The sequence below is a fragment of the Homo sapiens genome, chromosome 10 (genome assembly GCF_000001405.40).
Source record: "Homo sapiens chromosome 10, GRCh38.p14 Primary Assembly".
Taxonomy (NCBI): Eukaryota; Metazoa; Chordata; class Mammalia; order Primates; family Hominidae; genus Homo; species Homo sapiens.
The window spans coordinates 35,695,580-35,709,980 of NC_000010.11; the positions used below are offsets into that span (position 1 = coordinate 35,695,580).

The 14,401-nt window shown below is 41.3% G+C and overlaps 1 pseudogene, besides 1 other annotated feature; it reads left to right on the top strand.

The window, feature by feature from the left end:
- Positions 1,696-2,530, top strand: RPL7P37 (ribosomal protein L7 pseudogene 37; annotated as a pseudogene).
- Positions 5,805-6,312: an enhancer, noted in NCBI's record as "H3K4me1 hESC enhancer chr10:35990312-35990819 (GRCh37/hg19 assembly coordinates)". NCBI's record gives its function as "activates a minimal SCP1, AML or CMV promoter by ChIP-STARR-seq in primed H9 embryonic stem cells {active_cell/tissue: H9 hESC(primed)}" and the evidence as "EXISTENCE:reporter gene assay evidence [ECO:0000049][PMID:30033119]".

A 14,401-nucleotide genomic window follows, 5' to 3' on the forward strand; every position in this document is an offset into this window, starting at 1 on the left:
AATTACAGGCATGAGCCACCGCGCCCGGCTATCAGATAGTAGACTTTTTGATGTAAGAGGTCATATCCAATTATCCTTGTATTTCTGGCACCTAGCAAAATACCTTTGGACTCTGCCTTTTTTTTTTTTTTTTTTTTTTTTGAGACAGAGTCTTGTTTTGTCACCCAGGCTGGAGTGCAGTGGCACAATCTCGGCTCATTGCAACTGCTGCCTCCAGAGTTCAAGTGATTCTCGTGCCTCAGCGTCCCGACTAGCTGGGATTAGAGACATGCGCCACCATGCCAGCTAATTTTTGTATTTTTAGTAGAGACAGGGTTTCGCTACCTCGGCCAGGCTGGTCTCGAACTCCTAGCCTCATGTGATCCACCCACCTCGGCCTCACAAAGTGTTGGGATTATAGGCGTGAACCACCGCACCCTGCCTCTGGACATTGTCTTTTTGGATGAACGATCATGCAGAAAGGTTTAGGGCCAGTCGTTTGTGAGTGACTACGGGTAGGAATTAAATGACGTTTATTTTCCTTGAATCTCTGTGTAGGAGCTTTTACTTTTGGGAGGCGAAACAAGTATTTTGCAGAAATTTCCTGCTTTGGTTAATTGACCACCGACTTTAACTAGGATAAATTTTAGCTAATTTTCTGACTCTTAAACATCCTCTTATGTGAAATCACTCGATGAGTTTTGCAGTTAGGCTTGGTTAACATCGATGAGTTCTTACTTAGATGTCACATCTAGCCCCAGGATGCTCATTAATCTAGTTGAAGTGATCAGATGCAGTTTTGGTGAAAATAGGTGGAAACAGAGTTTATGTTCTTCAGCAATTGGTCAGGAGGAGGAAGATTGATCTAAAAGAGAAAAAGTTGTATAAGCCAACACTTTAACGAGTGGAGAGATTATCCTAAGGTCTACCTTGTATTGTAGACAAACTGATATTAGCTTCTAACTGGGTCTTTAACTTAAGAAATGGGAATGACACGGGAGTGACTTGCTTTCTAACACAGCTGCAATTTGCATTTCCTGTCTGCTCACATTCTTCTTTGTAATCCTTGTTAACTGGGAATGTGGCATTGAGTAAATTCATAAAATAAATATGGAGATTGTATTAGGCTAAAAATTACTTTGCATTGTTATGCTTTGTTTCGTGTTCAGTTAGAGTAACTGAATCCGCAAAGTTCTCTTCTTTTATCCTTGGAATAATCACAAGCTGGGCTTCCACTGGCTGTTCCAGAAAAGAAAGTATGCTTGGCTAGTTGTGTCTGTGTGTGTGTGTGTGTGTGTATGTGCACATGCGTGCATGAGTGTATAAGCAATAGGAAAAACAAGTATTTTGAATACATATAATAATATACCAGTATTCAGGATTTTCATGGTCTTAGGCAAAATCATGGCTTAGGAATGCTTTCAGTTTGACTTTTCACTTACCATTTCCTTGTGACCTAGCTTCAGATTTTGACTTTTTTCTTCTTCTTTATTTAGCCACCCTTGTCAGTTTCATGTCATGTGCCAAGGCATGACAAGATAGTGAGTGTTTGTAGCCATCTAGGGGGAGAGGATAGTTTCTGGCTGCTGTGAATTGCTGGGGGCAGCCAAGAGGCTGTTTTCTAGCTAGGATTTTTGCACAAGTACAGCAGGAATCCCTTGCATGTGCCCAGTAGAAGCAGAATACTGTATTTCATGAGCATTAAGATACTAGGGTCCTCTTTTCTGGCTAGAACCATGGAGGGTGTTGAAGAGAAGAAAAAGAAGGTTCCTGCTGTGCCAGAAACCTTAAGAAAAAGGGAAGGAATTTCGCAGAGCTGAAGATCAAGCGCCTGAGAAAGAAGTCTGCCCAAAAGATGCTTCGAAAGGCAAGGAGGAAACTTATCTATCAAAAAGCAAACCACTATCACAAGGAATGTAGGCAGATGTACAGAACTGAAATTCGAATGGCGAGGCTGGCAAGAAAAGCTGGCAACATCTATGTACCTGCAGAACCCAAATTGGCGTTTGTCATCAGGATCAGAGATATCAATGGTGTGAGCCCAAAGGTCTGAAAGGTGTTGCAGCTTCTTTGCTCTCATCAAATCTTCAATGGAACCTTTGTGAAGCTCAACAAGGCTTCAATTAACATGCTGAGGATTGTAGAACCACATATTGCATGGGAGTACCCAAATCTGAAGTCAGTAAATGAAGTAATCTACAAGCGTGGTTATGGCAAAATCAATAAGAAGGGAATTACTTTGACAGATAACACTTTGATTGCTGTGTCTCTTAATAAATATGGCATCATCTGCATGGAGGATCTGATTCATGAGATCTATACTGTTGGAAAGTGCTTCAAAGAAGCAAGTGACTTCCCGTGCCCTTCAAATTATCTTCTCCACGAGGTAGAAAGTAGAAAAAGACCACCCGTTTTGTAGAAGGTGGAGATGCTGGCAACAGCGAGGACCAGATTAACAGTCTTATCAGAAGAACGAACTAAGGTGTCTACCATGATTATTTTTCTAATCTGGCCAGTTAATAAACAGTATGGGCTCTCCAACTGAAAAAAAAGATACTAGGAAATTTGGTCAGTTAAGTCAGTCCTGCCCTTTGGAATTCTGAAACTTTTTTTTTTTTCTTTTTGAAATGGAGTCTGGCTCTGTCACCCAGGCTGGAGTGCAGTGGTGCAGTCTCCGCTCACTGCAACCTCCGCCTCCCGGATTCAAATGCTTCTTTTGCCTCAGCCTCCTGAGTAGCTGGGATTACAAGCAAGCACCACCAGGCCCAATTAATCTTTGTATTTTTAGTAGAGATGGGGTTTCACCATGTTGTCCAGGTTGGTCTTGAACTCCTGACCTCAGGTGATCTGCCTGCCTTGGCCTCCCAAAGTGCTGGGATTACTGTGCCTGGCCCTGAAACATCTTTAAATCAAGGGTTTCTGAAAGTATGTGGAACTGACTGGACCATCCTTATTTTGCACGTTATTTTGCTTTTTCACTTGTATTCAGACTTTGACTAAAAGAACATGGTGGATGAATGGGGAAATTAGGCACAGAGGGTAAAGAAACTAGGAGAATCTACTTACCTTTCATGTGCATTTGAAATGAAGGACAGATGTCTGTTCTGTTCTGGATATCTGTGGATGCTAGTGAATGGTCCTTTTGGTCTAAGCAATTATGTCTAAGAGGTTAGAAATACTAGTTGACTTACATTTGAATCAGAGAAGCTGCTTTTTTTTTTTGACAAGAGTTTTGCTCTGTTGCCCAGGCTGGAGTGCAGTGGCGCGATCTCGGGTCACTGAAACCTCCACCTTGTGGGTTCAAGCGATTCTCCTGCCTCAGCCTCCTGAGTAGCTGGGATTACAGGCATGTGCCACCACTGCCTCCTACCTTTTGTATTTTTAGTAGAGGCACGGTTTCACCATGTTGGCCAGGCTGGTCTTGAACTCCTGACATCAGGTGATACTCTCGCCTTGGCTCCCAAAGTGCTAGGATTACAAGCGTGAGCCACAGCACCTGGCCAGAAGCTGCTGTCTTAATATTAAAATCCCTGTCCCACTAGAAAATTTTTCATGTCCAAATTATATATGACATTACTGTCAGTAAATTTTCAGTCGCTTGTACCTCTGATTCCTTGAATACATAGGAAATCCTTCATTCTTCTCATCTGAGATATATACTAATGGGGCATTACACATTCACTATGTGTAAAGGGGCAAGAGGGCTCTCTGGTTAAAGACGTAGTGTGGACTCCTCCTGCCTTGCCCTCCAACAGCCCTCAACCCCTCCTTCCTCACCCTAATGGTGTCTTGAATGTAACTTACTAGTTTGACTTTCCCTGAACCAGAGCAATGAACTCATAGAATGATTTTAACGTTGAGTAATTATGTCTCCAGGTGTTTGACATTTAAAACTTGAAGCTGAAACAGGAGCCTGGTCTCTGTATCCACTTATGATAAATGTCCTTGAAATATTCCACTTAAATACTCAGCTGTAGTCAGTTTGCACTTCAACTGTGGACATCATTAGGAAATGGAAAAAAGGAGTCTTTCTTCATTAATAATTGGGAAGGCAGCCAGTCACCAGAAGCAGGAAGGCTTTTTGAGCTAGAATGAGCTCCTCTTTTGAGCTAGAATGGTCTGATTCCACTTCCCCCAACCTTTCCATTCTCCCCAGGTCAGAGCATAGAAACTGGTGGAACCTAGCCGGGGTGACTTTCTTTGTTTAAGTTGTCCATAATGCGGACTAATATTTGGCAGCCAAGTGTTTTAAAACATTTATACACTGTCACAGTAAATAAGTTTCCAGGAGTAGACCTGTGTGAGCTGCTTAATATTCCTTGAGGGTATTTTAGATTTCCCTGAATCTTAGAATGCAACTTTCCTCACACTAATGGAGAATTCTATTGATTGCAGCAAATGACCTAAATACTTTTTGAGCAAGACTGAAATAAATATTATAGCAGCGGCAAGGGCGTTTCTCAAGGGTAGCAATTTCCTTTGCTTCTGAAAGCCTCCAGGGAATGATTCTATTTGCTCCATCTGGTGGGTCTCACTGTTTAGGTTGATAAATTTTCCAGGACACTGTAGAGTTTCTTTCTTAATGCTACATGAATTCTCTTCCTAGGGAGAAACATTTTGCCGTCTCAAGGATGTCAAATATATTCTATATATGTTTGGGACAGGTATGAGCCACCTCTAGTTCATATATGTCAAACAGGAGGTATTGAGCGAGAGTGAACTATTCATCCAGTGTGACCTGGCTAGCCAGTCATGTGGAGGGAGAGGACAAAACTGGAAGGAATAACTGAAGCTGCACCGAAAGAAAGTTAGAAGAAAAACATCAGGTTAGCTAGTGGAGAAATCTATACTATAATAGAAGTTATTAAGAAATAATTTTAGGCAGATAGAGAGGAAAAGGGCTCCTTGGAAAATTTTCATCTCTTTTAAAGCCGCTCCAGAAAAGTTTCTTGTCTAGCAGGAAAGCCTTGGCTCTTAGAGCCAGGGCGGCAACCTTTAATATGCAAATACCAGCCATTAGAAACTGGGTACACCCAACATGGCGATTTCCACCGTTGTCCTCTTGACCTTGCGCCTACAAGTGCCTAGCAGCATGGTTGTCCCCACATAACCCCACGTGTGTAGAACATCATGGCAGCCCTGTATTTGCATACTAAAAGACTAGGGTGGGAGGGCCAGTTTTTTCGCGGGCTAAGTGAATGACATGCCAGGTCAAACCAATCCCCTGAGCCCTATGCAAACCAGACACCGCCTCCTCTAGCCTCCTTATATAACTATCTGGTATCCCCCGCACGCGGGGTCTCCTCTCTTGGCTTTGGAGCCCCTCTCCCTCTGTCTCTGTATAGGTGAGCTGCTTCTTTCTTTGTTCTCCCCTCTTTCCTGCCTATTAAACTCCCTGCTCCTTAAAATCACTCCACGTGTGTCCATGTCGTTTTACCTAAATCGTGCAAGACAAGAGCCCTGGTGTTCCTGCACTCATCGGAGCCGCATCAATACCATCAGTACTAAGCCTTAAATTTACCAGGGGTTGTAAGAGTCCCAGTGCCTCCATTAATCCACATCTGTGTATCCCCGAGGAAGTCTTCCTGGTCTGGTTGGTTTCACAGGTGAATTTGAGCACGTCTGCTAAGCACTCAGCCTGTTTACCTTAGATAGATCATACTTTGAACCTGAAAGCACTTTTCAAAGTTTCTTTCTTGCCGATTACCTTGCAGTCATGCCCTAGAAATGGCGACATGCACATCAGCAGCTGACGTTTGCACAGTGCCTTGCAGCTTCCTTTGTCACTGTAGCACCTGGCGCTGACTTCGGATGCTGCCCTGTACCCAGGGGCCTCTGCTGATCCCCACTGCCTGCCCCCTCCGGAGCAGCCCCAGGCCGTGGTGCGGTAATTGGCACCAGGTGGATGATGAAGACAGATTTTTATTTGATTCTCACAACAACCCTGAGATAAATAGAGCAGAGATGTGGAAACCCAGGCTCAGAGAGATGGAGTGCCTTGCTCACTGCCTCCGTGACATGGGATGGCCCCAGAACCTGAATGCAGCTCTTCTGACTTCCAATGCAGGGCTCATGTCATGCCACCACTGCTGGTGGAGAATTGTCCTTATTCATCACTTGCATTGTTGGCAAATCAACTATATAGAATGTTCCTGGAAATCCCCTGAATCTTATTTTGGTATTTTGCCACCCATCCGCAGTTGACTGTAGAGCAAAATCATACCCTACCTGACTGTGGCCCCACCAGGTGCCATGTCCTGGGTGAGTGTTTTCTAGACACGGACTCGTTTATTTTCACAGCCATCCCAGGAGGTGTGAGTGATCCTTATCCTCATATTACAGATAAGGGAATGGATCCACAGAGCGGGGAAACCCCTTGTCTGAATTTCCTCAGTTAGTGAGCAGCAGAGCTGAGGTGCAGTCCCAGCTATCTGTCTTTAAAACCTCAGAGCCCCCAGGCCATTGCTTGCTGTAGATCAGTGTAGCGCTGACTTCTGCAGCACCACGTCTTGATGCCTCACTTAACCCATTCTGTATTTTATTTTAGATTTAGGGGGTACACATGCATGTCTGTTACATGGGTATATTGCATACTGGTGAGGATTGGGCTTCAAGTATATCCATTACCCAAGTAGTGAACATTGCACCCAACAGGTAATTTTTCAACCCTCCCCCTTCTAGAGTCCCCAGTGTCTATTATTTACGTCTTTACTTTTTTTTTTTCCAAGATAGGGTCTTGCTCTGCCATCCAGGCTGGAGTTTAGTGGCACGATCATATCTCACTGCAGTCTTGATCTCCTGGGCTCAAGCGATCCTCCTACTTCAGTCTCCTGAGTAGCTGGGAACAGAGATGTGCACCACCCTGCCTGGCTAATTTTAAAGAGGTGGGGTCTCACTATGTTGTCCAGGGTGGTCTTGAACTCCTGGGTTCAAACCATCCTCCTTCCTCAGCCTCCCAAAGTGCCGGGATTACAGGCATGAGCTACTGCTCCCGGCCTATTATTTCCATCTTTTACGTCCATGTGTACCCATTGTTTAGCCCGCACCTATAAGTGAGAACATGAAGTATTTGATTTTCTGTTTTCTAGTTAGTTCATTTAGGATAATGGCCTTCAGCTTTATTCATGTTTCTACAAAGGGCGTGATTTCACTGTTTTTCATGGGTACATAGTATTTCATGTAAACCCATTCTTATCAGAAAACTAACACCTGAGTTTAAGGCTTTCTGTGGGGATCCTGATCTGGTTGGAAGCTCTCTAACAGGATGTCCCTGCCCCTTCTACACTGAACCCCTAGACAACACCTCCATCAGTGTGCAAATCTGTGTCTGTCCTCTCAATCTCTCCCCCACTGTAAGGCAGGCTCACAGCATCACTGCCTTCTCTAGACTTTAGGAGAAATCAGATTCTCTTAGACTTTAGGAGAAACCAGATCTACATCCAGGTGAAGCAATGCCATCTGCATTTTCTTCCTTCTTTTCTTGTTTTAATTGGTATATCATTGTTGTACATACTTATAGGGTACATGTGATATTTTGATGCCTGTATACAATGTGTAATGATAAAATCAGGGTAGTAGGGAAGTGCATCACTTAACATTTATCTTATCTTTGTGGTGGGAACATTCCAATCTCCTCTTGTAGCTCTTTTGAAATATATAATAAATTATTGCTAACTACAATTTGCCTACTGTATTATCAAACACTAGAACTTATTCCTCTGTCTAACAGTTTTGTGTTTTCTTTCCTTAGGGCGTGTTTTCTGCATCTGTGGTCAGATTAGTTAGCCTTCTCCATATCTTCCTTTGTATCTTCCCTTTCAAAATAGGGAGGCAAAAATTAGACATGATGTCTTTGATAGTCAATCAACCACAGCCAGTTAGAGCTCTGGGCCCGTTTTCCAGCTTTTGCATCTCATCTGTGACAGTTCCTTCCCATCTTCATGCTCACTTTCCAGCGAGGGCATTGGCCCCTGTTCAGTGTGTGAACAGGGTCACTCCTTAGGGCTTGCCCCGCGTAAAAGGGGGCTTTCCTGAACGCTTTTTTTTACCCTCAAAATATGATGACTTACATTAAACTCTTGGACTTCATTCTGATTTTGTGGAGCCATTTTTGTTTTTGTGTAACATTTAAAATGTATTGAAACAATACCTTTCCTAGAAACAAAACCTTTCTTAGAGAGGCTTTTGTCAAAGATGTAATCTCATATGCACTTTATAAATTACATTATTAGTCTGGAAACCTACATGCAAGTTGCCAAGACTATATACTTTCTTGAGCTAGCACCTGGTGGATTATCCATTTCCCATCACACTTGCACACACACACCCAACACAAACATGTCAACACACATACACCCCAATATGCACATCCCAACACACACACACCAACACCCTCCAACACACACATGTACATGCCAACACACATACGCACACACATACACATGTATCAACAGACACACCAACACACCTCCAACACACGCACAGACCAATGCACATACCCCAACACACATACTCACCAACATACACGTGTACCCATGCACACACCAAACATACATTCGCATGTACACACACCCCTCCAACACAACCCTAACACACACACAGTACACGTGCCCACCAACACACACACACCAACACCGCCAGAGCAATAGACACACACACCAAAACATACACACTAATACACACCCACCCCCGCACATGTTGTAATTACACACACACACACGCACACAAATTTTTGAGCAAGTTTTCCCCTACAAAATCCAGAGTAAATTACAGCAAAATCTATATATTGCTCTGCTTTCTACTATGCTACCAGAGGAAGTGGTGAAAAGTTCAAGAATTTTAGACCTATAACTGAATGGGAAAATACTGGAACAGACAGGGAATTGCTGTATATTGGCATAAAGATAAGCAAATAGTTCAGAAAGCTATTGTGCTGTGTTCTACAGGTATTGGTTTTTTTGTGCCAAAAATTTCCTATTCAAATTTAATAGTATTCAATGGTCTACACAGAAATATGTTTTTTATTATATAGCTATAATTTGACCATGAGCTTAATACAATAATGTAATAGAGCATTTCTCTGTCTCTGTCTGCTTAGAGAGAGAGAATTTTATAGTTATTAAATTACAATCACTGTATTCTCAAGGCACATAAATGAATTCATTACTCAGGACACATTCAAGCATAGAATACTATTTGAATAATGTAAGCCCTTAAGAATATATTTAATTATTCCTAAAATAAATTTAACATTGATAGGGCTTGTTTTCATGACTGAAAAATTAGGAAGCGTGCAAAGAATATAAATATAGAATTAAAATGAAGCTAAGTATAAGGATATTTGGTTGTTGTTAATTGCTATGCTCAGATAATTTATTTTGCTAATAGGTGTCTCTGTCCATGTGTAGTGTCTGTGTGTATGGCATGTGTATGTATGTATTTGTGGTGTGTGCATGTGTGTATGTGTGCATGTTTGTGCATATGTATACATGCACTGTGCCTGTCTGTGCATGCGTGTGTGTGCTTTTGTGTGTGTGTGTGTGTGTGTGTGTGTGTGTGTTGTGAAGCCAGCAGCAATGTGAGTTTAGGCATCTGCTCTGGCAATGGGCTCTTCCTCCCTGGATCTTGCAATGTTTTGACACCATCTGACACAGAAGCTTTCTTGCCTGGGGTCTTCTCATTGCACAGACCACATTTTTCTCTCTGGATTTCTCATGACATTGCTGGTGACACACTGCATTCATGTTCGAACTCTGAAAAAACACTTTTGGTGAGATGAATCCACGTCCAGCTGTTTTCAGATGCAGATGTTTTCTCAGGGTAATCGTTGACTTCCAGCAAGACATCCTGGAGGACAATGGAGGTGAAGAGGAAATGGGACGCAAAGGAAACAGGCCTCGTTCCCCAGTCCGCCCACCTGTGTGCTGCCCTGGGCCAGTCATATCTCATCTTCACAGTTTGTCTCAGGCTTTGCTCATGGTTTTCTATTTTCTGTCCTTCTTACTGTTTTACCTCCCCTAATTCTACTATTAGCTATTACCTCCTCAGATCCAAGGGTTTCCACAATATAAGACCGACCCCCGTTCCCCCAGGCCACACTAACAATAGCTTCTCTGTGTGCATCCTAGTGCCAGGCACCTTACTAAGTGCTTACCTGTAACATCTCATAGGATCCTTAAGAGAACTCCATAAAGTAGATGCTATTATTATCTCAACTCTATTGCTTTAGAGAATGAAGTTCAGGTTAAATATTTGCCCAAGATCACACAGGGCTGAGATTGAGGCTTCCAACTGTGTCCTGTCTGCATTGCTGCATCACTGTGTCACTGCCCTCTGGGCTCTCTCCTCTGCATAGTTGTAGCATCTACGTTAGACATGTACATTTTAATTTCCAGTAACAGCTTATTCGCTCTCTGGATCTTGCTTTCTATATTTCCCATGACTGGGTTTCATCTGTTCTAAGAGACTGTCATCATCCCATGTCTCTTGGCTGGTGAGTTTTGTACACCTTTGAATTTACACCTACTATTTTATTTAATCGTGGCTTGTCCTGAATTCACTGTGCTTTACCCCCTTGTTTCTTGCTGTCTTTTGTATTCTCCACAACTATTTCATTTCATCTCAGACTATAGAGAGATTCAATTTTATTTCTATTCTTTTCTGGTCTCTTTTGAAGTTATACGTATTAAATGTAGAAAAAAACAATAACTTTCATGCTCTTCTAGAAAAATACAAGAACTTATAACTGAGCTCCTATCACTCTTCATGCCCATTTGCTATTGTTGCCGTCTTTTAGATTCAACCTCTATTTTGCGAACCTCACAAATGAGATCTTATCAATATCGTGTTTGATTGTTTGTATTTCTTATGTGCAGTTTTCTCCACATTTACCAGTTTCTTTGCTCACCATTTCTTATTAACTTTTATTTTAAGTTCAGAGGTACATGTGCAGGTTCATTATATATGTAAACTCACGTCATGGGGGTTTGTGGTACAGATTATTTCACCATCCAGGTATTAAACCTCATATCCATTAGCTATTTTTCCTGATCCTCTCCCTCCTTCCACCCTCCACCTCCTGTAGGCCCTCATGTCTGTTGTTTCCATCAATGTGTCCATCTATACTCATTATTTGTCTCTCACTTATAAGTGAGAACATGCAGTATTTGGTTTACTGTTCCTGTGTTAGTTTGCTAAGTATAATGGCCTCCAGCTTCATCCATGTTCCTGCAAAGAATGTGATATCATTCTTTTTTACAGCTACATAGTACTCCATGGTGTATATGTACCACATTTTCTTTATCCAGCCTACCATTGATGGCTATTTGGGTTGATTCCATATCTTTGCTATTGTGCTCACCCTTTCTTATATCCTAGACTTTCCTTTTGGAATCATTTTTCTTCTTCTGAAAGCTGCTCTATTAGCAGTTTTTCAAGTTTTTTAAAATCTGAAGGTGTTGTAGTTATTATTTTGTTCTTGAAGGAGAGGTTTGCTCAATACATCACTCTGTATTAATGGAAAATATCTCACCTTTTTGAAGATATTCCACTCTTGTTTGTCTTCTATTATTGCCACTGCGAAGTCTGCTGTCTGTCTAATTGATTTGTTGTTGATCGTGGTGATCTATGTTTTCTGTTTGGGTGCCTTTAAGATCTTTTCTCCCTCTCTCTTAAGAAACTGTTCCTCAATTTCACTATAAATATTGTTTTCTTTGTGTTTACTTGCTTATTATACTTATTATTCTTTCAGTTTATTTTATTTGTCGATTTATGGCTTTAACTCATTCTGGAAAAATTTTAGCTATTACATCCTTAAGTATTTTTTGTACTCTACACATCTACTCTCTCTTGCTAAAATTCTAATTAGATGTGTGTTAGGGTTTCACGTTTTTTCCCTCATGTCTCATAATCTCTTGTATTTTTCCTTCTTCTCCTCTGGGCTATAATTTATTTAGATTTATTTATAATTTATTTAGATTTGAGTAATTCATTTAGATTTATCTTCCAGCTTAGCTGAAGCATGGGCTTAATTTTCCAGGATATTTTTTCAGTTCTATTGTCTTAGTATCTTACTTATGTTTTTCTTCTTACAGTTTAACCTCTGAGCTTCACTGGCATGTATGTATGTGTGAGGCTGAGAATGTTGAAATAAATGCAGCTGTTCTTACTTCAATAATCAGGCATGTGAATTCTGGCCCAGATTTTCATCCTATGTAACTCCATGGGAACTCTCTAAGGACATGATTCAGATGACTGACCTTAAACAACCACCTCCCTGTTCATCCATCAATCATTCACAAATCCATCTGTTTCTGAGTGGGTTACTGCAATTGCACCAAAATACCTAGCATCTGTAGTCTCGGGGGAAATGTGTTGCAATCTTCATCAGTGGTAATTTTCTGTAAGGAAATGTTAGTACAGAAAACAAGCTCCTCACAACAAATTGTAAGTATGACTACCATCATCTATACCCACCTCAACCAAACCAGCAACGATGAAGATTATGATTTGGACTGCACAAGTGGAACTAGTAGTTTACCCAACAAGAGACATTTTTCTCAAAGTGAATGAAATCACTTCACATTTTTCATCTGTTCATGCCTTGACCATAAATGTGCTTTTGTAATTTTTGCTTTACCAAGTTTGCTCTGCTTGCCTCAGGTTGCTGAGTAACCAGATTGTTTCCTTCAATCTCCAGTCTGTGTATCTTCATTCAGCAAATGTTTTTGGTTGGAGGTGTGTGTGTGTGTTTAGGTATTTAGGGACAGTAAGTACACAGGAAGAAGGGATGAATGAGATATGGCTGCTATTTCCATTTCAATTTCATGATTATGCCACTTCTGATTAGAATTCCATTTTAAGGCTAGGTGCAGCGGCTCATGCCTGTGATCCCAGCACTTTGGGAGGCTGAGGCAGTTGGATCACTTGAGGTCAGGAGTTCGAGACCAGCTTGGTCAACATGGTGAAACCCCATCTCTACTAAAAATTAAAACAAAAAAATTAGCTAGGTATGGTGGCGGGTGCCTGTAATCCCAGCTACTCAGGAGACTGAGGCAGGAGACATGCTTCAGCCCGGGAAGGGGAGGTTGCAGTGAGCCAAGATAGCACCACTGTACTGCAGCCTGGGCGACAAAGTGAGACTCCATCTCAACAACAACAACAACAACAACAACAACAATGACAACAACGAATTCCATTTTGCAAATAAAGTCTAGCCACAATCCCAGTCACACCACCACCAAACCCTTGGGACACAGGGAGCTCCATTTCTCCAGATGCTGCTGCTTCCTTTTCCTCTTCCATCTTTTTAGCCATGTGACATCTCATAAGCCTGGGTCTTACTTTCCAGGGTCTCCTGCTATAATCCACTGGGTTGGGGAGATCATTCACATTCATGGTTTCACTTTACACTATTGACTTCCAAACATGCCTAACCTAGAGGCTGCATTTCAAATTACCTACTGGCCCTCTTCATCTGGATTTCTTTAGTCACTTCCAGTTCCATAAATCCAACATCAAAATTGTTAACTTCATCTTCAAATTAATTTATCTTCTTTTCCGCTACTGTGCCCCGGGACGTCTTCCTTTGCTGAACTTCTGCAGCACTTCCTGAATAGTTTGGCACTTCTTTACTTCTTCGCTTCTTTTAGAGGTGTTATCATTCTTCCAGGTTCCCTTGTTAGAAATTTGCAGTCATTCAAAACTCTAATCTTCCCTATATTTATTTATTTATTTTTATTTCAAAAGCTTTTGGGGTACATGTGGTTTTTGGTTACATGGATTAATTCTATTGTGGTGAATTTTGAGATTTTAGTGCACCTGTCACTCAAGCAGTGTACACTTTACCCAATATGTAGTCTTTCATCCCTCACCCCCTCCCACCCTGAGAACATACAGCATTTGGTTTTCTATTCCTGAGTTACTTCACTTAGAATAATAGCCTCCAGCTCTATCCAAGTTGTTGCAAAAGACATTATTTCATTCCTTTTTGTGGATAAGTGGTATTCCATGGTGTATATATGCCACATTTTCTTTACCCAGTCATTGGTCAATGGGCACTTAGGTTGGTTCCATATCTTTGCAATTGTAGGACTGATTTATTCATAGTAAGCATAGTGCCTAGAGCTGGGGATAGTTTTAGAGGCCCATAAAAATGTTTTAATGTCTTTTAAAATATAAATTTAAAAATTTAGGTTTTTTTCCTGATATGTAATATTAATATATTCATCTTAATAATAATAAAATATACATACAATATTCATTTTTTTCTTTCTTTCTGTTTGTGGAGGAAGGGGCCCATGAAAGGGCAAAAGTGCCTAACCCTCAATGACTAATCAGTCTTTATACCTTAATGATTATTCTCTTACATTTATCCCTTTCCTCTTCATTCTTCTCATTGTGATCAACTTAATCCAGTCCCTAT